At 39.0% G+C, this 23,210-nt stretch overlaps 1 long non-coding RNA gene across 1 annotated transcript in view; it reads right to left on the reverse strand.

Moving 5' to 3' along the window:
• Positions 1 to 23,210, reverse strand: part of LINC02226 (long intergenic non-protein coding RNA 2226) — a 124,082-nt gene that overhangs the window by 984 nt on the left and 99,888 nt on the right. Inside the window, exons 4-5 of the long non-coding RNA NR_039984.1 lie at positions 2,715 to 2,829; positions 112 to 260 (exon numbers count right to left, since the gene is read on the reverse strand). This is a non-coding gene — a long non-coding RNA (long intergenic non-protein coding RNA 2226). The remainder of the gene's footprint in view (positions 1 to 111; positions 261 to 2,714; positions 2,830 to 23,210) is intronic.

The raw sequence follows: 23,210 nt of genomic DNA on the forward strand, positions 1-23,210 counted from the left end.
TGAAGATACCTGAGTTCATGCAGTCCAAAGTGAAGGGTGTAAACACATTGCTTGTATAACAAGTACTTGCATGGACATGACTCTGTAATGAGGTCTATTATTTAAGATTACCTGTTATCAAAATTAGATAGGTGATTCACTTTATATTTTACAGAAAAAAATTTCTTGAATAAACCCAGTTATATGATTGGCCATCTGATGATAAAATGTACTCAAGCAGTAAAGAAATATTACTAATTGTTTCTTCTGGATGTTACTCCCTGGAAAAAAGGGTAATATTTATAGAATTGATGAATAATTATAGTATTAAATAATTATTTTCAACATCTCAATCAAAATTATTCTCTTAATTTTCAATAGTTATCCAACATTTCAATTTTTATAAAACAAACACAACTTTTTCATGATGTAAGTTTCAATGGTTGGTTATTTATTAATTGAAGATTTTTCCGTTTCTAATATATGACAAGCATTTTGCTTCAGGAATCAGTATCTTTATCTCAGGTTTCTTTTTTCTTTTCTTTATTCCTGAAGTGAAATTACTGGGAGCTGGCATATCAAAGATATTCTGACCTTAAACAATTAGACAAACTAATTACAGTCAGGTTTTTAAAAGAGCAGGCATTTAATTTCCACAAATCTCTATGTTGCCATATTCTTACAAGTTGTTTCATGCCCCACGATTAGCAGGCAGTCTGTGACAAGAGATTTCTTCAAGGCATTGGGATGGATGAGCCTTGTAAGATGTGGTTAACAGATTGAGTACAAATTTACTTCAAATTTCATTGACCCATTGTCTTACAGGTCAATTTCATGAATTGTCTTACAAGACAATTAATGAAATAAATAGGGATTTAAAAGTTTCTTTTAGGTCTTGGCATAAGTAGGCCGGGCACGGTGGCTCACGCCCGTAATCCCAGCACTTTGGGAGGCCGAGGCGGGTGGATCACGAGGTCAGGAGATCGAAACCATCCTGGTTAACACAGTGAAACCCCGTCTGTACTAAAAATACAAAAAATTAGCCAGGCGTGGTGGCGGGCGCCTTGTAGTCCCAGCTATTCGGGAGGCTGAGGCAGGAGAATGGCATGAACCTGGGAGGTGGAGCTTGCAGTGAGCCGAGATCACATCACTGCACTCCAGCCTGGGCGACAGAGCAAGACTCCGTCTCAAAAAAAAAAAGCAGAAGGTCTTGGCATAAGTAGATCATGAATCAAAAAATGAACCTGTCAGTCTTTGGGAAATGTGGTTAAATCTACCGAAGTAATACATTGAAGATCATGAAGTTAAATTTGCTGAATGATCTGTTGGATTTGCTATGGCATGTTTGGCTCCCAGAAAGTTGTTCCTTAAAAGACAAACAAAAAAACCTTTAAATCACAATTCTATTTATTTATTTCTCTCTTTGCATGCCAGACTTTTAAGAACAGCAACACTTTGCATGGCCATCTCCAGCAGGAGGTAGTAGAAGAGTGCTGAAGTTGGTGGTAGAAGCTGAGCTCATTATCTGAACATAATTAATCTCTATGTGATCACAACATCCATGTTGACACAATTAACATTAACTTAAAAATATTGAACATGGATGTGTCAACCTAAATAGCAAACAGAGAGAGGCTCTCTAAAAGTAAAAGATATTTATTGAGGCATGGGCATTGCAAAGGGCACATGTGTGCCTTAGTAAACTATGTACACATTCAGGGAGGTAAAGGAAGGCTATGCTTTTAAAGAAAAAATGAAGAGTATTACATAATTATTTTAAAATGATTATTCTTGGCTATGTTGATCAATAACAAATATGATGCTACTCCAAGGTTGGACAAGCAGTTTTTGGGGTGATGTCCTCGCAGAAGTATTTTTTGGTGTAAGTTCCTGAAAGCGTTTGTGCAAGGATGTGGTTTTTGCAATGTTTTGTGATAGTTTTTGTTGTCAGGCATACAAACATGAGAACTCTTTCTTGATAGCTTTCCTCAGCTCTATTTGTTAGAGTTTTTTTTTTTCTTTATTTTTTTTTAACATAAATGACTCCATTTTGATACTGACAATTTCCAAAGAGACAGTTCAGATTTTTCTAAAAGGCCTAGCTATTTGCAAATGACCAAACATCATAGTCATCAAGAAATTTGGAAAACTCAGAATTCCTTAAATTGCAGGTCTATTATTTAGGATAACCTGATTTCAAAGCTAGATAATTTATTAATTTTCTATTTTACAGAAAAGGATACTCTTGAATAAACCCGATTATATTAGATACTGAAGGTTAATTTTTCCTGAGTTTCAGTGCTGTTCAAATTATACAATGGCTAACCTGGACTGCAGGTGAAAATCGCCAAGGAATACTTAAAAAGCAGCACACCCTGCCCAGTGTGAAAGGGCTTTCTGATGATTGTCGTGTGCAGCCATGGCTGAGAGCATCCCTGGCTGGGCTAGCACTTGTGCCTCAATGCAGTGCTCTCCTTAAGTATTAATCGAGTGAGCTCAGTTGTTGCCAGAAAAACATAAGTTGGACTCAGGAGAGCTTCTCTCTTTCAATTTACCTAAGCCTGCTTTGTTTGATGCGTTAGTCAGCCAGGAGATGTAGACTGGTGCCTATGAAAAAAAGAAAACACTCAGAGAAAATGACAGCTCACTTAGGTCTCTGGCGTGAATTGCTGCTTTAAAGAAGGAGAACAAATCTTTTTTGGAATCCGAAAAGCAAATTGCTCATCTCTGCTTACCTTAAACAAACAAACAACTAATCCTTGTGTCTCTGCAGTATTTGTAATATTCCCTTTTATTTCCAAGGTCCTGTGTGCCTCAATACTGTACTGTAGACAGGTGCTGTCAGGCCATCTTCCAGGCAAACATGGAAAGGAATAGTGATCAACAGTCAGGGGTACTAATCAACATAGGCCAAGAGCCCCAGCGATTTTCATTCTGCGTTCTTCCTGCTTCTATTTTTTGAAAGTTTGAAATGTACACACTTTATGTAGCCTGCACTGTGGAAAGGCCATCAGTGTTAGCTGCTCAGGTGGAAGGACACAGAGAATGCCCTGCTTCCATCTCCTTCTTTTCCTAACTGTGTGATGCTGAAAAGTTCCTGACTTGCTTGCTGAGCCTCTATTTCCTTCTCTGCAAAAATATGGCTACATGTGTCTGTGAGGGCCAACTACCAAAAACGAAGAAACAAAAATCCAAATATACTACCTGGCACATAGTGGAAATAAAAGATATTATATTATTACTCTTTGCTAGTATTATACCTACACTTCATTTTCAATTGTAAAAAGCATCACACTTAAGCTAGTAACCACTATTCCTTAGGGAACTGTAGTAAACTGACCCTTGATCATCTTCAGGATAAAAGACTTAGCATTGCATCTGTATCTCTTTGTGGTCTGCCACCATGTACTTGTAATACCCACTGAAGGATATTCTTAGGTCCAACTAAATTAAGATGTGCAGAATCACCACGAGCCATGCTTGGCACCCACTGTGCTTACACAGGGCAGAAGCCACAGCATGAGTGTGAAGAGACAGCTCTCCAAGGAGTTTCTGCACGTCTTGCACACACACCTTCTGTTGTGACTGTCTTGTCAAGCACGATGTGTGACGCACTGGTTATCCATGGATGGCCACGCGGTTCCAATGCACTCTGCAATGTTGCTCTAGGATAAACAATGGGATTCTTTTCAACCTTTCTCCTTGAAAGCCAGTGTGATTCTGAGGCTTTTAGTAGAAGACACTTGGGACTCTGCAAGAGGAAAAGACTTCCTACAATTCCAGTGTGGAGCGAGGTGAAGATGTAGATGTGAGGACCTCAGGAGGGTCTGCCACAGCCACAGTTAGGATGTGGTCTTTCTGCATCCTGCAGACTTGGCCTGGTAATAACCTTTCCACAACCATCTTGACCAAGAAACCAGAATCCCCCAACATCTGCCTGATTCCAAGGCCTCCTGACTGTGCTGATGCCAGGACTCCCTCTGCAAGTCTCCATGTGGCCACCTGCACCTGAATGTCACCTTCTGTCCCTCCTGCAAACCCCTCCTCCCACCACCACCACCTTGTGAAATCCATGTATTGGAAGGCTCTCTGCCTCCACCAGCACCCAGGATCCCACTGCCTGCCTGTGCAGATTGCTGTTCATTTGCACTCCCTCCTGCATGGCAGAGAGGATTCTGATATTTTCAAAAGCAACTCCAGACCAGCTCCAGCCTGGCAACACTGAAAACTTCTCCACTATCTGCTGGTTAAACTATGCCTTTTTCAGTGAGGCCTAACTCCTTCTGAGTTTGTTCTTCCTTGGGTGCTCTCCCTTAGCCTTAGGGCACCATATAGAGTTTTCTTATGTTGTATAGTTAGCCTTTAATCAAATTTAATAATTCTTTTTATTAAACATCTCCTTTTTAACGGTGGTATGATTTGTATCTCATGACTGGATGCAGACTACTACATCTAGCAAAGAGAATTGATAGACAGAGACAGTATCTAGCTCTGGAGCAGAAGATGGGGTTGTTTTGCCACCAATGTAATAAGATAATGTAAAAGTTGGGCAGATCTGCTTGCTGCCCATTATTTAAAAAATTGATGTTTCCTGAGCTCTGGGTTTATCAGCTGTAAGACAAACTCTCCACCTCTGCATGCACAGCATCTACCCAGACCCACCTGTGATGCCCCTTGGGGGCTGGAGGATTCAAAACCTGTGTGAATATGCAGGTAATGCTTCCTGCTGTGCCTTGATGAAAATGAATCTCTTTGTCTCTAACCTAGAACTCTCATATCCTCTGCCAGCATCTACACAACTGTGAAAGGATAACTTCTTAGTTTGCAAGTAGAGGAAATTTTCGGAGACTTCATAATTCTTGACAGCAAGCAAGATAGAATCAGGGGACCTATGGGAGCTCTTGCATCAGTCTCTGCAACTGTTTCAGCAGTCAGGTGGGCATTCTTTTGGCTGCTTTCTACCCCTGACTCATGTAAGAGCTCAGGTGCAGAGAGATGAGATTCATATATGAGTGGAGGTTCCTCGCTGGCCTAAAAGCCTCATGTTGCACAGTAGCCAAATGTCTTACAATTCCACAGTTACAGCTTCCAAGGTCTCTGTAAGAACATGCCAGCACCAAGAGTCACCACACTCTGGGAAGCCCATAGCTCTAGCATCTTGCCAGGCATTTATTTAGTTCTCTTAGGCTGCAGAAATTTGCCAGTCAAGGGTCTTTTTCCCCATAATCAATATTGTCTTTTGATGTCATTGAAATTCTTCCTTTATCTAATTTCCACGGAAATAGAGTTAGAAAGGTAATTAAAGATGAAGTCCTAAAGCCAAAGGAGAAAAGATCATATTAACTCCATACTCAGATTGCCTGTTCCACATTTTCTTTTTTAAGTTGTGCACATCAAATTCTGTTTTCTCTATTTTGTCAACCTTTTCGTCAACTTAATATACCAAATTATCTCAAACCTTTCTCTCCCTGAAATGCCCTTCATACAGACCCTTTGTTTACCTGTCATAATTAGCATGTATCTTCAAGGATAATCTCTGGAAGATGGCCGACTAGACGCAGCCAGAAAGAGCATCTCCCACCAGGAGAGACTAAACCACCCAGTAGACAGGTACACTCTGAACAAATCCTCAGAAAGAAGGCATTGAGAATGGACAGAGGGAGGATGCAGACCCTGGGGCTGAAAGGGGAGAAAGGTGGGAACTGTGCGCAAGGTTGCTGAGCACTGGGACTCATTCCTGGCTGAGGCTCACCATAGTCCTGTAGGTGGCATTAGCCATTGTTAGAGGCCAGACCTGGAAAGAGCAGGGCTGCCCTTCCCACAGATTGGGGCCAATCTGATCTGAAGATCCCTTGTGTGCCAGCCTCCCCCAAGAGCCCTAGCTGGCCACACCCCTTTTCAGCACAGCCTCAGCTGCTCTGCTGAAACAGTTGACAGAAGCTACTGTGCCATAGTTCATTCACTGGCAGCCCCTGCCTTCCCCTCAGAGCGCTTTGGCAGGCAGATCCCTGCTGGTGTGCACTCATCTACAGCCTTCCCCTGCAGGAGCACTTGCAGCCTTCTTATAATGCTCCACTACCATGCACAGCCCATCCACCACCCTGTTGGTGCACACATGCCTGCTACCCCCATGCTTCTCTGCCAATGTGCACTCACCCACGGCTGCCCTGCCACCCTACTGATGTGCGCTTTCCTATACCCCCCAACCACAGTGCGCTCTCCCATGGGCCCCCTACTACCTTCCCACCGAAGCATTTTTGCTGGCAGCTCCCATTGGAATGTTATGCCAACAGACTGAGAACACATCAGCCCCTCCAGCACAGAAGGTGCTTGACCTTGAAGGGCCAGAGAACAAAGAAACAGGCCTGGTCCCAGCCCCCCATCAGGGTTGGAGCAGGCAGCCTGGGAGCGCTGACCAGAACCTTGCTCCCTTGAAAAGATTCAGAAATGAAACCAATCAACTAAATGCAGCTTATACCACAGCCAAGCCCTAGAGGGCACCAAATAATATTAAAGCAAAGAGCCCCATTTAAAGGATAGCAACTTTAAAGGTTAAAAGAACATCAGCCCATATGGATGAGGGGAAAAACAAAACAAAACAAACAAAAAACACAGTACAAGAATTCTGGCAACTCTAAAAACAACAATGACTTTTTACCTCCAAATAACACTAGCTTCCCAGCAATGGTTCTTAACCAGATTTAAGTGGCTGAAATGACAGACATAGAATCCAGAATCTGGATGTCAAGGAAGCTCAATGAGATACAGGAAAAGGTTGAAACCCAATCCAAGGAAAATAGTAAAATGATGCAAGAGCTGAAAGACAACATAGCCATTTTAAGAAAGAACCAAACTAAACTTCTGAAAATGAAAAACCCACTACAGGAATTTCATAGTGCAAATGGAAGCATTAATAGAATAGACCAATCTGAGGAAAGAATCTCAGAACTTGAAGATCACTTCTTCAAATCAACACAGGCATACAAAAAATTTAAAAAAAGAATTTTTAAAAATGAACAAAACCTCTGAGAAATAGGAGATTATGTAAAGAGAACAAACTTATGAATCATTGGCATTCCTGAAGGAGATAGAGAGAGAGCAAGAAACTTGGAAACATATTTGAAGATACTGGCCACGAAAATTTCTCCAACCTTGCTAGAAATGTTGGCATGCAAACTCAGGAAATTCAGAGAACCCCCAGAGAGACGCTATACATGATGACCACCCCCAAGATACGTAGTCATCAGATTCTCCAAGGTCAATGCAAAAGAAAAAATAATTATAAAGGCACCTAGAGAGAAGGGGCAGGCCACATAAAAAGGGAATGCTATCAGGCTAACAACGTATTTTCAGCAGAACCCTTATTAGCCAGATGAGATTAGAAGCCTATATCCAGCCTCCTTAAAGAAAAGAAATTCCAACCAAGAATTTTATAACAAGACAAACTGAGCTTCATAAGCAAAAGAAAGATTTTTTTTTTTAGATAAACGAATGTTACAGAAGTTTTTACCACCAGAACTGCCTTACAAGAGGTTCCTAAGGGAGTGCTAAACATGGGAATGAAAGACGGATACTGGCCACCACAAAAACACACTTCAGTACATAGTCTGCTGACACTACGAAGCAACTCTACAATCAAGTCTACATAACAGACAGTTAACAACACAGTGACTAGATCAAATCCTTACATTTCAATATTGACCTTGAATGTAAATCAGCTAAATGCACTATTTAAAAGGCCCAGAGTGGCAAGTTGGATAGAAAAGAACAATCCACCTGTGTGCTGTCTTCAAGAGACCCATATGATATGCAGTGACACCAATAAACTCTAAGTAAAAGGATAGAGAAAGATCTATCAAGCAAATGGAGAACCAAAAAGAGCAGGAACTGCTATTCTTATTTCAGGCAAAATAGATTTTAAACCAACAATAATCAAAAAGGACAAAGAAGGGCATTATTTAATGATAAAGGATTTATTTCAACAAGAAGACCTACCTATTCTAAATGTATATGCACTCAACATTGGAGCATCCAGATTCATAGAACAAGTTCTTAGATATCTCTGAAGAGACTTAGATAACTACTAAATAATAGTGGGAGATTTCAATACCCACTGACAATGTTAGACAGATTGTTGAGGCAGAAAACTAACAAAAATATTCAGGACCTAAACTTGACACTTGACCAAACGGACCAAACAGAAATCTATCTAATACTCCACCCAACAACAACAGGGTATACAGTTTTCTCATCAGCACATGACACATACTCTAAGACTGACCACACATACATCCATAAAGCAATTCTCAAAAAATTCAAAGAAGTGCAATCATACCAACTACACTCTCAGACTATGGCACGATAATAATAGAAATTAATACCGAGCAGCTTTCTCAAAACCATATAAGTATATAGGAATTAAACAACCCAATCTTGAATGACTTTGAGGCAAAGAATGAAATTAAAACATAAATTTAAAAAAAACTTTGAATCTGATGAAAACAAAAATGTAATATACCAGAATCACTGGGACACAGCAAAGACAAAGTTAAGAGGAAAGTTTATACTGCTAAATGCCTACATCAAGAAGTTAGAAAGATCCTAAATTAATTATCTAACATTATACCTGGAGGAACTAGAAAAACAAGAGGAAGCCAACCCCAAAATTAACAGAAGAAATAAACAAAATCAGAGCTGAATGTAACAAAATTGAGATGTGAAAATCCATACAGAAGATCAATAAAACCAAAAGTTTATTCTTCATAAGAATAAGCAAGATCAATAGACTACTAGCTAGATTAATAAAAAAATAAGGTCCAAATAAATACAATGAGAAATGACAAAGAGGACATTACCACTGAAGCCACAGGGGGGAAAAAAAACCCTCAGAGACTATTATGAATACCCCTGTTAACAAAAACTAGAACATCTAAAAGAAATGGATAAACTACTGGAAACATACCACCACCCAAGAATTAACCAGAAAAAAATTGAAATTCAGAACAGACTAATAAGTTCTAAAAATGAATCAGATTAAAAAAACCTGTATTAGTTCATTTTTACACTGCTATAAAGCACTACCTGAGATTGGGCAATTTATAAAGAACTGACGTTAAATTGACTCAGTTTTACATGGCTGGGGAGGCCTCAGGAAACTTCTCATCAAGGCAGAAGGTGAAGGGGAAGAAAGCACATCTTGCATGGCAGTAGGAGAGAGAGCAAACGGGGAAGTCCCACACACAAATTAACCATGAGATCTTTTGAGAACTCATTCATTATCATGAGAAAAGCAAGAGGGAAGTCTGCCCCCATGATTAAGTCACCTCCCACCAGGCCCCCACCCACAGCATGTGGTGTGGGGATTACAATCCGAGATGAAATTTGGTTGGGGACACGAAGCCAAACCATATCATTCTACTTCTGGCCCCTCCCAAATCACATGTTCTCACATTTTAAAACCAATCATACCTTTCCAGCAGTCCCCCCAAAGTCTTAACTCATTCCAGCATTAACTCAAAAGTCCAGGTCTAAAGTGTTATCAGAGACAAGGCAAGTCCCTTACACCTATGAGGCTGTAAAATAGAAAAGCAAGTTAGTTTCTTTAAACGTACAAAGGGAGTACAGGCATTGGGTGAATGTTCCCATTCCAAATGGAAGAAATTGGCCTAAACAAAGGGGCCACAGGTCCCACGCAATTCTGAAACCCAGCAGGGCAGTCATTAAATCTTAAAGCTCCAAAATAATCTTTGTTGATTCCATGTCTTATACCCATGTTATGCTGGGATGGGCTCCCAAGGCCTTTGGCAGCTATGCCCTTGGCTCTTCAGGGTGCAGCCCCCATGGCTGATTTTACAGGCTGGCATTGAGTGCCTGTGGCTTTTCCAGGTGTACAGTGCAAGCTGTCAGTGGATCTACTATTCTGGGTACTGGAGGATAGTAGCCCTATCCTCACAGGTCCATGTCATAGTGTCCCAATGAGGACTCTTTGTGGGGACTCCAACCCCACAGTTCCCTTCTGCACTGCCCTAGTAGAGATTCTCCATAAAGTCTCCACCCTTCCAACATATTTCTGCTTGGACATCCCGAGGTTTCCATACATCCTGTGAAATCTAGGTGGAGGTTTACAAACCTCAAGTCTTGCCTTCTGTGCACTGGCAGGCCTGACTCATGGAAGCCACCAAGGGTTGTGGCTTGCACCCTCTGAGGTCATGGCTTGAACTGTACCTTGGCCCCTTTTTGGCATGGCTGGAGCTGGAGTGGCTGGGACCCACGGTGCCATTTCCCAAGGCTTCACAGAGCAACGGGGTCCTAGGCCTGGCCCATGAAACCATTTTTCTTCCAAGGCCTCCAGGCCTGTGATAGGAGGGGCTGCAGTGTAGATCTCCGAAATGCCCCAGAGGCATTTTCCCCTTTGTCTTGGCTATTAATATTCAACTCATCTTTACTTATGCAAATTTCTGCAACCAGAGGCTTGAATTTCTCCCCAGAAAATGGGTTTTTCTTTTCTACCGCATGGTCAGGGCAGAAGTTCCAAACTTTAATGCTCTGCTTCCATTTTATACATAAGTTCCAATCTGTTTATGAATGCATGTGAGCATAGACTTGTATTTAAAAACAACCAGGTCACTTCATGTGAGTGCTTTGCTGCTTAGAAATTTCTTCTGCCAGATTCCCCAAATCATCTCTCTCTAGTTCAAAGTTCCACAGATCTCTACGGCACAGGCAAAATGTCAGAAGTCTCTTAATTAAAGCATACCAAGTGTGACCTTCACTCCAGTTCCCAAAAAGTTCCTTATCTCCATCTGAAACCACCACAGCCAGGACTTCATTGTCCATATCACTATCAGCATTGTGGTCAAAATTATGCAACAAATCTCTAGGATGTTTCAAATTTTTCTACATCTTCCTCTCTTCTTCTGAGCTCTCCAAACTCCTCCAACCTCTGCCTATAACCCAGTACCAAAATTGCTCCCATATTTTCAGGTATCTTTATTGCAGTGCCCCATTCCAAATACCAATTTTTTGCATTAGTCCACTTTCACACTGCTATAAAGAACTATCTGAGACTGGGTAATTACAAAGAAAAGAGGTATAGTTGACTTACAGTTGTGCATGGCTGGAAGGCCACAGGAAACTTACAATCATGGCAGAAAGCAAAGGAAAAGGAAGGCACATCTTATAATGGTGGCAGGAGAGAAAGAAAGAGCAAAGGGGAGAAGTGCCATGCACTTTTAAACTATCAGATCTCACGTGGACTCACTCACTATCATGAGAAACAAAAGGGAGAAGTCCGTCCCCATAATTGAATTACTTCCCACAAGGCCCCTCCCCCAAAACTTAGTGATTACACTTTGAGATGAGATTTGGGTGGGGACACAGAGCCAAACCATATCACCTGCTAAACGGAAAAAGCCCTGGACCCACGTGGATTCACAGTCAAATTCTACCAGACATACAAACAATAGCTGGTACCAATCCTACTGAAATGACTGCAAAAAATTAAGGTAGAGGGACTTCTCCCTAACCCATTCTATGAGTACAGCATCATTATTATATCAAAACCTAATTGTGACATAACAACAAAAGAAAACTTCAGGCTAATATCCTTGATGAACATAGATGCAAAAATCCTCAATAAAATACTAGCAAACTCCATCCTCAATAAAATGCTAGCAAACTGAATCTAGCAGCACATCAAAAAGCTAATCCCCCAGATCAAGTAGGATTAATCCCTGGGATGCAAGTTTGGTTCAACATATGCAAAGCAATAAATGTAATTCACCAGATAAACAGAACTAAAAACAAAAAACACATGATCATCTCAATAGATGCAGAAAAGGCTTTCAATAAAAATCAGCATCCCTTCCTGTTAAAAATCCTCCACAAACTAAGCATTTGAAAAACATACCTTGGCCAGGCGCAGTGGCTCTTGCCTGTAATCCCAGCACTTTGGGAGGCTGAGGCGGGTGGATCATGAGGTCAGCAGATCGAGACCATCCTGGCTAACACAGTGAAACCCCGTCTCTACTAAAAATACCAAAAATCAGCTGAGCATGGTGGCTGGCCCCTGTAGTCCCAGCTACTCAGGAGGCTGAGGCAGGAGAATGGAGTGAACCTGGGAGGTGGAGCTTGCAGTGAGCTGAGATCGCGCCATTGCACTCCAGCCTGGGCAACAGAGCAAGACTCCATCTCAAAAAAAAAAAAAAAAGAGAAACATACCTCAAAATATATACATGCCCTCTATGGAAAACACACAACCAACATCATACTGAATGGGCACAAACTGAAAGCATTCCCCTTGAAAACTGGAAACAAGCAAGGAGAAAACAGGCAAGAGAAAGAGAGAGCAGCCAGAGGCCCTCTCGTGCCACTCCAGCTCGACATAGTACTGGAAGTCCTAGCCAGAGCAATCGGACCAAAGAAGCAAATAAAAAGCATCCAAATAGAAAGAGAGGACATAAAACTGTCCCTGTTTGCAAATAATATGATTCTATACCTAGAAAACCCCATAGTCTCTGGACAGATGCTCCTTGATCTAATAAACAACTTCAGCAGAGTTTCAGGATACAAAATCAATGTTAAAAAAAAATCAGTAGCATTTCTATACAACAACAACATCAATGATGACTACCAAATCAAGACTGCAGTCTCATTCACAATAGCCATGAAAAGAATAAAATACCTAGAAATACAGCTAACCAATGAGGAGAAAGACCTCTACAATGAGAATTACAACACCTGCTCAAAGAAATCAGAGATTACACAAGCAAATGGAAAAACATTTCATATTCATGGACAGGAAGAATTAATATTGTTAAAATGGTCATTCTGCTCAGAGCAATTTATAGACTCCATGCTATTTCCATCAAAGTACCAATGACATTTTTCACAGAATTAGAAAAAAAAATGCTAAAATTTATTTGAAACCAAAAAAGAGCCCAAATAACCAGGGCAATCTGAAGCGAAAAGAAAAAAATCCGGAGGCATCACATTACCTGACTTAAAAGTATACTACCAGGCTACAGTAACCAAAACAGCATGGTACTGGTATAAAAGCAGACACATAGACCTGTGGAACAAAATAGCCCAGAAATAATGCTGCACATGCACAACCATCTGATCTTTGACAAAATTGACAGGAACAAGCAGTGAGAAAAAGATTCCTTATTCAATAAATGGTGCTGTGATAACTGGCTAGCTATATGCAGAAGGCTGAAAGTGGACCCCTTCCTTATACCATATACAAAAATCAACTCAAGATGGATTAAAGACTTAAATGTAAAACCTACAACCATAAGAACCCTGGAAGACAACCTAGGAAATACTGTTCTGGACATAGGACCCAGCAAAGATTTCATGACAAAGACGCCAAAAGCAGTTTCAACAAAAACAAAAACTGGCAAATGGGATCTAATTAAACTAAACAGCTACTGCACAGCAAAGGAAACTCTCGACAGAGTAAACAGGCAGCCTATAAAATGAGAGAAAATATTTGCAACCCATGTATTTGATAAAGATCTAATAACCAGCATCTATAAGGAACTTAAACAAATTAACAAGAAAACCCAAACAACCCTGTAAAAAAAGTGGGCAAAAACATGAATAGACACTTTTCAAAAGAATACCCAAATGCAGCCAACAAGTATGTGAAGAAAACGTTCAACATCACTGATTGTAAGAGAAATGCAAATCAAAACCCTAACTAGATGCAACCTCACTCCAGTCAGAATGGCTATTAATAAAAAGTCAAAACATAACAGATGTTGTCAGGGTTACAGAAAGAAATGAATTTTTATATACTGCTGATAGGAGTGTAAATTAGTTCAGCCACCATGGAAAGCAGTCTGGAGTTCCCTCAAAGAACTTAAAGCAGAGTTACCATTCAACCCATCATCCCATTAATGAGTGTATATCCAAAGGAAAACATATTCCACCAAAAAGACACATGCATGTGTATGTTCATCACAACACTCTTCACAGTAGAAAAGACATAGAATCAACCTTGATGCTCATCAATGGTGGTTTAGACAAAGAGAATGTAGCACATGTCTACCATGATATACTATGCAGCCATTAAAAAAAAAACCTCAAATTATGTCCTTTGCTGCAACATGGATGCAGCTGGAGGGCATTATCCTAAGCAAGTTAACGCAGGAACAGAAAACAAAATGCCACATGTTCTCACTTATAGGTGGGAGCTAAACATTGAGTACACGTGGATACAATGATGGAAGGAATAGACACTGTGGACCACTTGAGGAGGATGGTGGGAGAAGAGTAACGGTTGAAAAAGTACCTATTGGGTACTATGCTCACTATGTGGCTGATGAAATCATTTATACACCAACCCCAGTGACATGCAACTTACCCATGTAACAAACTTGCATATACTCCCTGAGCCTAAAATAAAAGTTGAAAAAAGTATCATCTCTGTTTAGGTAATCAAGATCTGAATGAATAAAAAGATCCTTTTACTGACTGATGCACACCAGGAGACACAGTCTCCAAACAAACTTTGCAGTGATTAAACAGGAGAAGAGTTTTGTAAGGTTTTAGGAAATAAACTATCCTGAAATGTGATCTGCCAGCAAAACAATATACCTGCTGGCATGACCAAGCACAAAAGTACAAAAGGTGACTTAACATTTTCTTGAGAAAATTGCATTTAGTTACGTAAATTAGCTTTTACTGAGGTAAACTGGAATTTTCCAGAAAGGGGAGAATGGGGCACTTAAAAAATGTAGGAAAGATAAAAATACAGAATCACTCCATAAAATATAAATCACTTACTTCTGTTTGGCAGTGTGCAAGATAGATGCCTTGACCTCTCAAACTCTTATCTCTGTGTATTTATCTCAGTTAGATAGCTGGGTTCAGTTTGGGTTCCTCCCTGCTTCTCCATGGGATGGAAGGCACCTTGAAGTACTAAGCAGGTGTAAAAAATAGTAGGGTAAGAAAAAAGAGAACAGAGTGCCAATGAGCTGCAAGATAACATCTAGCAACTCATGAATGCGACTCTTCAACCTCACCCCCTAAAATGTTCTTTCCAGGTTTTCACAGCATCAATGGTAGTGATGTTGCCAAATGTTAATATATCATGATTGGGTCTTAAGAGAGACTCTTGCATTTGTTCAGAATTTTGATTTTAAGTCATGATCTTGACCATTTGTCGTGTGAGCAGCTACATAGAAGGATTTAAGACTCTGGGTGGTATACAGTGTGTGAAAGAAATTTTGAACAGACAAAAGGAGCATTAGTAACCACATGAAATGCCCATGACGCAGGAGCCACCTCCTCCAGGGATCAGCCAGGAGAAGAAATCCCAACTGTGGCTCTCTGTAGAGTTCTTGGTTATAGATATGAAGTTGTTTTACAAATTCATTATTTTTATTAATTTTTCATTATCTGAACCACTTTATTGATCTTAAATGTTCCTGAGAACTACCTGGTGACACAGGTAGAGGATTCTTCTTTGGCACAAGCCTCTTCTATAAGCAACGATGGCATCTAGTCCTGCTGAGATTTGGACCACAGACTTTCAGTTTTTAGTTCCTCTTTAGGCAGCAGATCAATTGTTTCAGTCTTATCTCATTAAAACAGTTAATCTGTTGCCCAAAGAAGAACTAAAAACTGAAAGTCTGTGGTTGATCTCTTGCAGACATTTTAAAAACCATAGAACACAAACCTCTAATGAGGTTTTCTGTTTCCTTTATGGCTGTAAGAGATACAGCCCTTAGAGCAGCATAGCATTTTCCAATGTTTTTCAGTGATGATTGGATTGTCTAGTTTTTCACCAAATGCTCTACCATTTCCTTTAGAAATTTAATAGTTTCTATTAAATATATATTTACCTAACTTGCCACAATCTTGTTTTCCATATCAAAAAGAAAACATTTGGAGATATTATAGGCCGAATGTCTGTGTGTCTCCCAGGATGCATACGTTGAAATCCTAACCCTTAATGTGATGGTATTGGAGGTGGCTTTGGAAGGTAGTTATGGTTATAAGAATGGGACCCTCATGAATGCAATTAGTGCCCTTACTAAAGGGAATGGAGAAACCTTGCTTGTACCTTCCACCATGTGAGGATGCAATGAGAAGATGCCATCTATGAACCAGAGAGCAGATCCTCACCAGACACTGAATCTGCTGCTTCTTTGATTTAAGACTTCCCAGCTTCCAGAACTGTAAGAAATAAATATCTGTTGTCTAAGCCACTCAGTCTGTGGAATTTTATTCTGGCAATCCTAGCAAACTAATATGTCTTCCTACCTTAAGCAACTACAATACTGGATAAGACACATGAAATAACGATTTTCAACATTGTACAATAAACAGCACAGGACTATGATACATGAGAAGTGGAACACAATCCGGGTGAGCGCTACATTTGCACCTGATTAGTACTTCAAGGCGTCTTCCAGCCCACAGAGAAGCAGGGAGGAACCCAAACTGAACCCAGCTATCTAACTGAGATAAATACACAGAGATAAGAGTTTGAGAGGTCAAGGCATCTATCTTGCACACTGCCAAACAGAAGGAAGTTTCAAAATGAGAAAGCCTCAGAGAGCTCCAGAGAAGTCTCTTCAAATTTTTAGCTGACTGCTTGTTACGCATGCAAGATAGGAACATAACCAAGGGTGGGGAAGAAACAACTGGAAAGGAATAGCCAGAACAACTCCAGGAATTCACACAGGGGTGGAATAATTTGTGTTCCCACCAGCTAGAGTGGAAAGACCTTATGAAATTTACGGCATTAAATGCAATACTTAGAATACTAGATGGGTATTGCCTTAGAGGTAAGAATAAATTAGCCTGCTATAAAGGCTGCTCTCAGGCTGTCTTTAAAAAACTTAAAACCAAGCTTCAAAAAGATGAAACTGACTCTAAGTTTACAGTGTGTAATAGAATTTGTTTTTTAAACAGGTGTATGAGTAACCTCATGAAATGCCGGTAGCCCAGGAGCCAGTTGCTCCATGGATCAGCCAGGAGAAGAAGCCCCAGCAAATGATTTTGCCACTCAAACATGGGACAAATAATTTTGTTCCAGAACAAGCTCAATAATATTTAGTAGAACACAAAAACATCTAGCACGCAACAAGGGTAAAGCTCAAATGGCATGCATCTGATATCATTTTCCTTGTATGCAAAGAAGAATATAATGTGACCAATAACCAGAAAAATACCAATTAATAGGGAAAACAAACAGAATCTATGGATAAGATAGAACCTACTGTCAGAGCTGTCAAGTGTTCTTTCCATATTTAAGAAAACAGAGGCTGGGCTCCATGACTCATGCTTGTAATCCTAGCACTGTGGGAGGCTGAGGTGGGCAGATCATTCGGGCTCAGGAGTTTGAGACCAGCCTGGGCAACATGGGAAAACCCCGTCTCTACAAAAAATACAAAAAAAGTAGTTGGGCATGGTGGCATGCACCTGTTGTCCCAGCTACTTGGGAGGCTGATGTGGGAGGATTGCTTGAACCCAGAAGTCTGAGGCTGCAGTGGGCCGAGATCATGCCATTGTCCTCCAGCCTGGGTGACAAATAGGACAATAAACAGAAAACTGGAAAATATACAAAAGTGTCACAAGGAACTTTAGAGATAAAAAATACAATATCTGAAATTTTAAAAAGTGCTGGATAGACTTAACACAAGATTAGATATTACAGAAAAACCGAACTGTGAATTTAAAGACATTGCTATGGAGACATTCACAAGGATGATTGTAGAAAAAAAAGTAGGTTAAGAAAAAAGAGAACAGAGTGCCAATGAGCTGCAAGATAACATCTAGCAATCCAAGCTAGAGAGAAGAGGGGAGGCTAAAAATAAATTTGAAGAAATTAATAGCTAAAACTTTTATAAATTTGATGAAAATCATTAGTTTAAACATCCAAGAAGCTCAACAAATGCAGAAGGAAAAGAAAATGATGGAAAACCACACCAAAGCACACCATTACAAAACTGCTGAAAACCAAATATTTTTTTAAAAAATCTTAGAAGCAGCCAAAGAAAACACACACATTCATATAAAAATAAGAATACAGAAGACATTCTTGTCATACAATATGCAAACTAGAAAACAGCAATCATTCATGCATAAAGAGCTGAAAGAAATACTGTCAATTTAGAATTATTTACAAATAATTTCAAAATTGAAGGAAAAAACTGACTTTTAGACAAATACATCAAGATAATTTATCACTAGAATAATTTCACTACAAGAAATATTAAATAAAGCTTTGTAATAAGAAGAAAATGGCATAAGATAGAAATTTGGATCTATGCAAAGGAACATAAAACATTGGAAATGGTAAATACAGGCATAAGTGTGAAGGACTTTTTTTTTCTCATTTTTAAATAGCACTTTAATCTCTTCAGTATAATTTAAGTATAATTGACTGTGGAAAGCAAAAATATTAACAATTTTTAGTAAAATTTAGAGCATATGTATAAATAAAATATATGGCAAAATGGCACAAAGAATGTCAGGGGAGTTATTTAAATATTCTGCTGTAAGAATCCCTAAACTATATAGTATAGTGTTCTTTGAAGGTAGATTGTAATAAGTTAAAAATACATTATTATAAAGTCTGACACAATCATTAACAAATAAAAAGAGTTAGCTCAAATACCAATAATACTGATAAAGTGAAACTATATAATAATGTGAGCATTGCAAAAGAATCCAGTGCCGGGACAATAGGAAAAAATAATCAAATTAGAACACAAATATCAGCAAGGTAGATTTAAACCTAATTATCAAGAATTACAGTAAATGTTAATGGTTGAACACTTTAAATAAAAGGCAGAGATTTTCATATTAAATGAAAACTTAGGCATGACTATAAACTTTCTACGAGAGGCTCACTTTAAGTGTAAAAACACAAATAGGTTATAAATAAATAGATGACAAATATATACCATGAAAACACTAATCAAAAAGAGATGACTATATTAATATCAGATTAGCTATATCAAAGTCAATGTACTTTTTAGAACAAGAATTCCATTATTAAGAATGAAAAGAAACATTATTTAAGCTAGAGGTGTCAATTCAATATGAGGATATAGCAATTATGTGTATGCACCTCATAACAGAGCTTTGAAGTACAGGAAGCAAAAACAAATAGGACTGAAAAGATAAGTAAACAAATCTATAATTATAGTTGTAGAGTTCAACATTCTTTGTCAATAATTGATAGAACAAGTAGACAGAAAATGAGTATGAATATGAAGAACATGAACAATATTATCAACAAACTTGATCTTAATGATATATACAGAATATTCTACCCCACAGCAGTATAACATGAATTCTTTCACATGCTGTGGAACAAATTCTGAGCAATAAAACAGGTATAAATAATTTTAAGAGAATAAAAATTATACCAAGTTGTATCTCTGATCCAATTAATTACAAATAAATTATATTAATTAAAATTTTGTTTTTCTTTAATTAAACTATTAAATAATAATCAGTGACAAAAGGAAATCTGAAAAAAAAACAAAGTGTTTGAAAATTAAATAGTATGCTAATCAAAAAAATCACAACATATTAAAATTTGTGTAATATAGTTAAAGCAATGTTTTTAGTGTGGTATAGTTTGAATGTATATGTCCCTCAAAAATTCTTATGTTGCAATCTATTACCAAGGTGATGGTATTAGAAGGTGGGGCCTCTGAGAGGTGACTAGGCTATAAAAACTCCACCCCGATGAATGAGATAAATGCCCTTAGAAGAGAGCTAGAGGATGCTAGGTAGGTGCTTAGGCCCTTTCATCTCTTCTGTCAGGTAAGGACACACCAACAAGGCGCCATCTTGAAAGCAAACAGCAGCCCTCACCAGATACCCAACTTTCTGGTGCCTTGATCTTGGACTTTCCAGCTTCCAGAATTGTGAGAAATGCATTTCTATGTATTTATAAATTATCCGGGCTCAGGTATTTTGCTACAGCAGCACAAACAGATTGAGATAATGTGCTTATATTAGAAAAAAAGAAAGGTCTCAAGTGAAGCCCTTTCTTCACTTTTCTTTCCCTTAAGTCTTCCTACTTAAAAAAGATAGAAAGGGAAAATTAAATGAAAACAAAAGTAAGCTGAGAAAAGGAATATTGGAAAAATAAATCAATGAATATATTTTTGAAGTATAAACTAGCAACACCTCTCCAGGAGAACTTGCTCTTTGAATCACAGTGACAAGTATCTGATTCAATCATAAGTGAACATTTTGAACTTCAAAACTTGTCCAAAAATAAGTGCTCAAGTTGGAGGGGACATTAAATGAATAAAATGACTCATCAATTATTCCCCAAGTGATCCAAAATTAACCCAGAACTGTCAGAAGGGCCACAGGGAAGTACTGAAGTTCACTTTAGGTGCATTTGGTAGGTACATTTGGAAAAGAGGATTCTCTGAGTTGCTTAACTTAAATCAAGGTTTTAATTTTCGATGGTGAATTTAATTACTCATTATATAATGGTTAACAATCTGGCATCTTTAAAAACAGGGACTGTTTGTTAGGTGTGTTGCTTGATTTCACATGAACCTATAAAACAAAATTTAAAGCTCATAGCCATTTAGCTGAAACACGTATGACTGAGAGGACTATTTGTGTTGTTTCCTTAAGTAAAATTTGGGAATTTTGGTTGTTCTCATCAGGGACTGTTTTATCCTAAAATTTATTAAATACACACATACTTCACTTTTACAAAAGGAAGCCTCTGTTATATTTGAAAGTAACTTAATTTTGCAATTCATATATTTGAACTATTATAGGCACATATAAAAATAGAAAATATATTTTAAGTCAATGAAAGTTATCCCATAGACCCTATCAATAAATAAATATTTTTGAAAATTCTCCAGCTCTCAACTTGCAATTGTAATTCCTAGATACTGCATGTGATCATTTATATTTCCTAGAGGCAGACTTATGATGGATTAATTCCCATAATTCATCATTTTTCTCTTCTCCCCATCTGTGTCATGCATCATTTCTACACTTGATTGCAGAACTTCTGATGCTGAATTTCAGAAAATGTATAGTTTTGTGGCTATTTGCTGTACCAGATGATTATGTGTATTGATATTTTCTTTCTCAAGACTCTCAGGGTTCTTTTTACAAAATTTGGCATTTTCACTCAACCACTTTTCTTCATATTTGGAAACTTCACACTGAGATACTTCAAAATACTGAAAGCATATTTTGAATTTCCATTTTTATAAAGATGTAATTTCTTGTTTCACCTAGGATAATCATGGATAGTTTTCTTGCAGAGAAATAGTTGGAAATATAAGTAAATGCATTTTAAAACAACTATACAATTAAAGAGTTTGTACTGTGACCTGTTGGATGAAAATCTACATGATTTGTTGCATTAGTGGAAACCTATCACGTAAACATCTTTAGATCATCTCCACCAGCTATCATGTATAAGCTTTCATTAAGGAAGAACATTTCTTTCAAACTTAGATATTAATTGACTGAATTTCCTCAAAATATTAACTTTATAATAGGGGGAAGAAGGGAGAAAGCTGGGGTGGTCCCCTACCCTCTCCTCTAGGCTGAGCATCTGGAACAGAAGTGATGCTAAAGAGGAGGGTGACAAGTGGGAGGGAGTAGGCATAGCAACTAGGATGATTTTGGCTCAAAGTAGCATAAATTGTAGTGAACTTTTGATCTAGCATATCAGCCAGTCCTAAGGAAAAGAGGCTCCTGGCAGAAGGACCCAGCTTTGCCTCTCTGCTCAGCTTCTGTTCCCATTCTTCTGGAGCCAGCATCCCTGCCTTGGCTGGCAGTAAGTAGGCAGCAGCTCCAATGTTACACTGCAACACATCCCAGAGGAAGAAAGAAACCTTCTCTTAGAAACAAGAACACTTTTCACAGGAGCCCCTCGTGGTTCACTGGCCAGAACTGATTTGCAGGTTGGACAGTAGCTGTACCAAATAAAAATGCTTGACAGAAAGCTTGGCACATTCCAGTCACCTGGAATTTCAGCTGCCACTCTGGAAGACAATCGTTGTAGGCTTACACTCAGGCTGCAGCGTTCATCTCAAGCATATGCCTTTTTTTGTTTTCTTCTGCAGACTTCTCTGAAGCCTCACTCCCTTCCCCAGGAAAAATGTCAGCCAACAGGGATTCTGTAGAAAATGGACACTTGCAGGAGGCACTGGCATCTGTCTCAGCAGTCCTGGGGGAATCAAACTCTGCTACCCACATAATGAACCTTGCTGTGGGCTTTGCCATCTTCTCTGCCTCACTCTCTTCATTCCTCCCACCTGTGCAGCACAGTCATTTCCCTAATAAACTATGTGATCAAAGCCCTTGTCTCAGGCTCTCCTTAAGGGGGACTCAAGCTAAGAGGTAGGGTTACCACTCACAATTCCCACTCCCATGATGCAGGACACAGTTCAAAATGGAAGGTGGGACCCTATATGTCTTTGAGGTTTTGAAGAACTCATTAAGTTTGAATGCAGTTGAGTCAGGGCTGGAGTGGTGCCCAGGGTACACTGCCCGTCTTCAGGGGTGCTACTCACATCTATAGGACATTTTAACACCCCTTGGAATTATTCAATTTACAATCTGCATGACTGTACACAGTGGCTTTGGAAGGACAAGGATTGGAGTGAGTCTTCTCTCCCAGGTACATTTGAATATTTGGGGCTACCCCCAGAATCCCGTCATTTCATTAGATGCTCAGTTACACATTCACTGTGAAGCCACTGAGGGTCAACTGTCTTTCTCAATAAATGACTGACTTTTTTCAGCTTTTGGTTTGGATGACTCACTTTATCACATTAGCTGCGGATCATATCGAGTTAGAGTAAAACAGATTTCTAGAAGCACGTTAGGGTTTATGTTAACAGTAGGAAAACTACCATCTTGTATCCTCAGTGACATTATTTGACACTAAACAATACATAGTTCATTGTATCACTTTGGAATCTTCACAGAGTCCCTTTGCCAGCAGGTGTTGGTTTTAAAGTCTTTCAGTTTGATCATTAGGAGTCATATGTGGTTATTCGTTCTGATCAAGAAGATTCATATTTATTCTATGTTCCATGTTGATATCTTTGAACATAGCTTTTGACAAACTATTTTGCCTTTTATGTGAGATTGCAATAGAGGATTTCGTTTTTGAGATACCAACACTGTTTATGTGTTTAGAATGCTTTGATATATCTGACCCAGCATTCACCTCTATGGTTTAATATGTCTGCTAAACTTTT

The sequence above is a fragment of the Homo sapiens genome, chromosome 5 (genome assembly GCF_000001405.40).
Source record: "Homo sapiens chromosome 5, GRCh38.p14 Primary Assembly".
Lineage (NCBI taxonomy): Eukaryota > Metazoa > Chordata > Mammalia > Primates > Hominidae > Homo > Homo sapiens.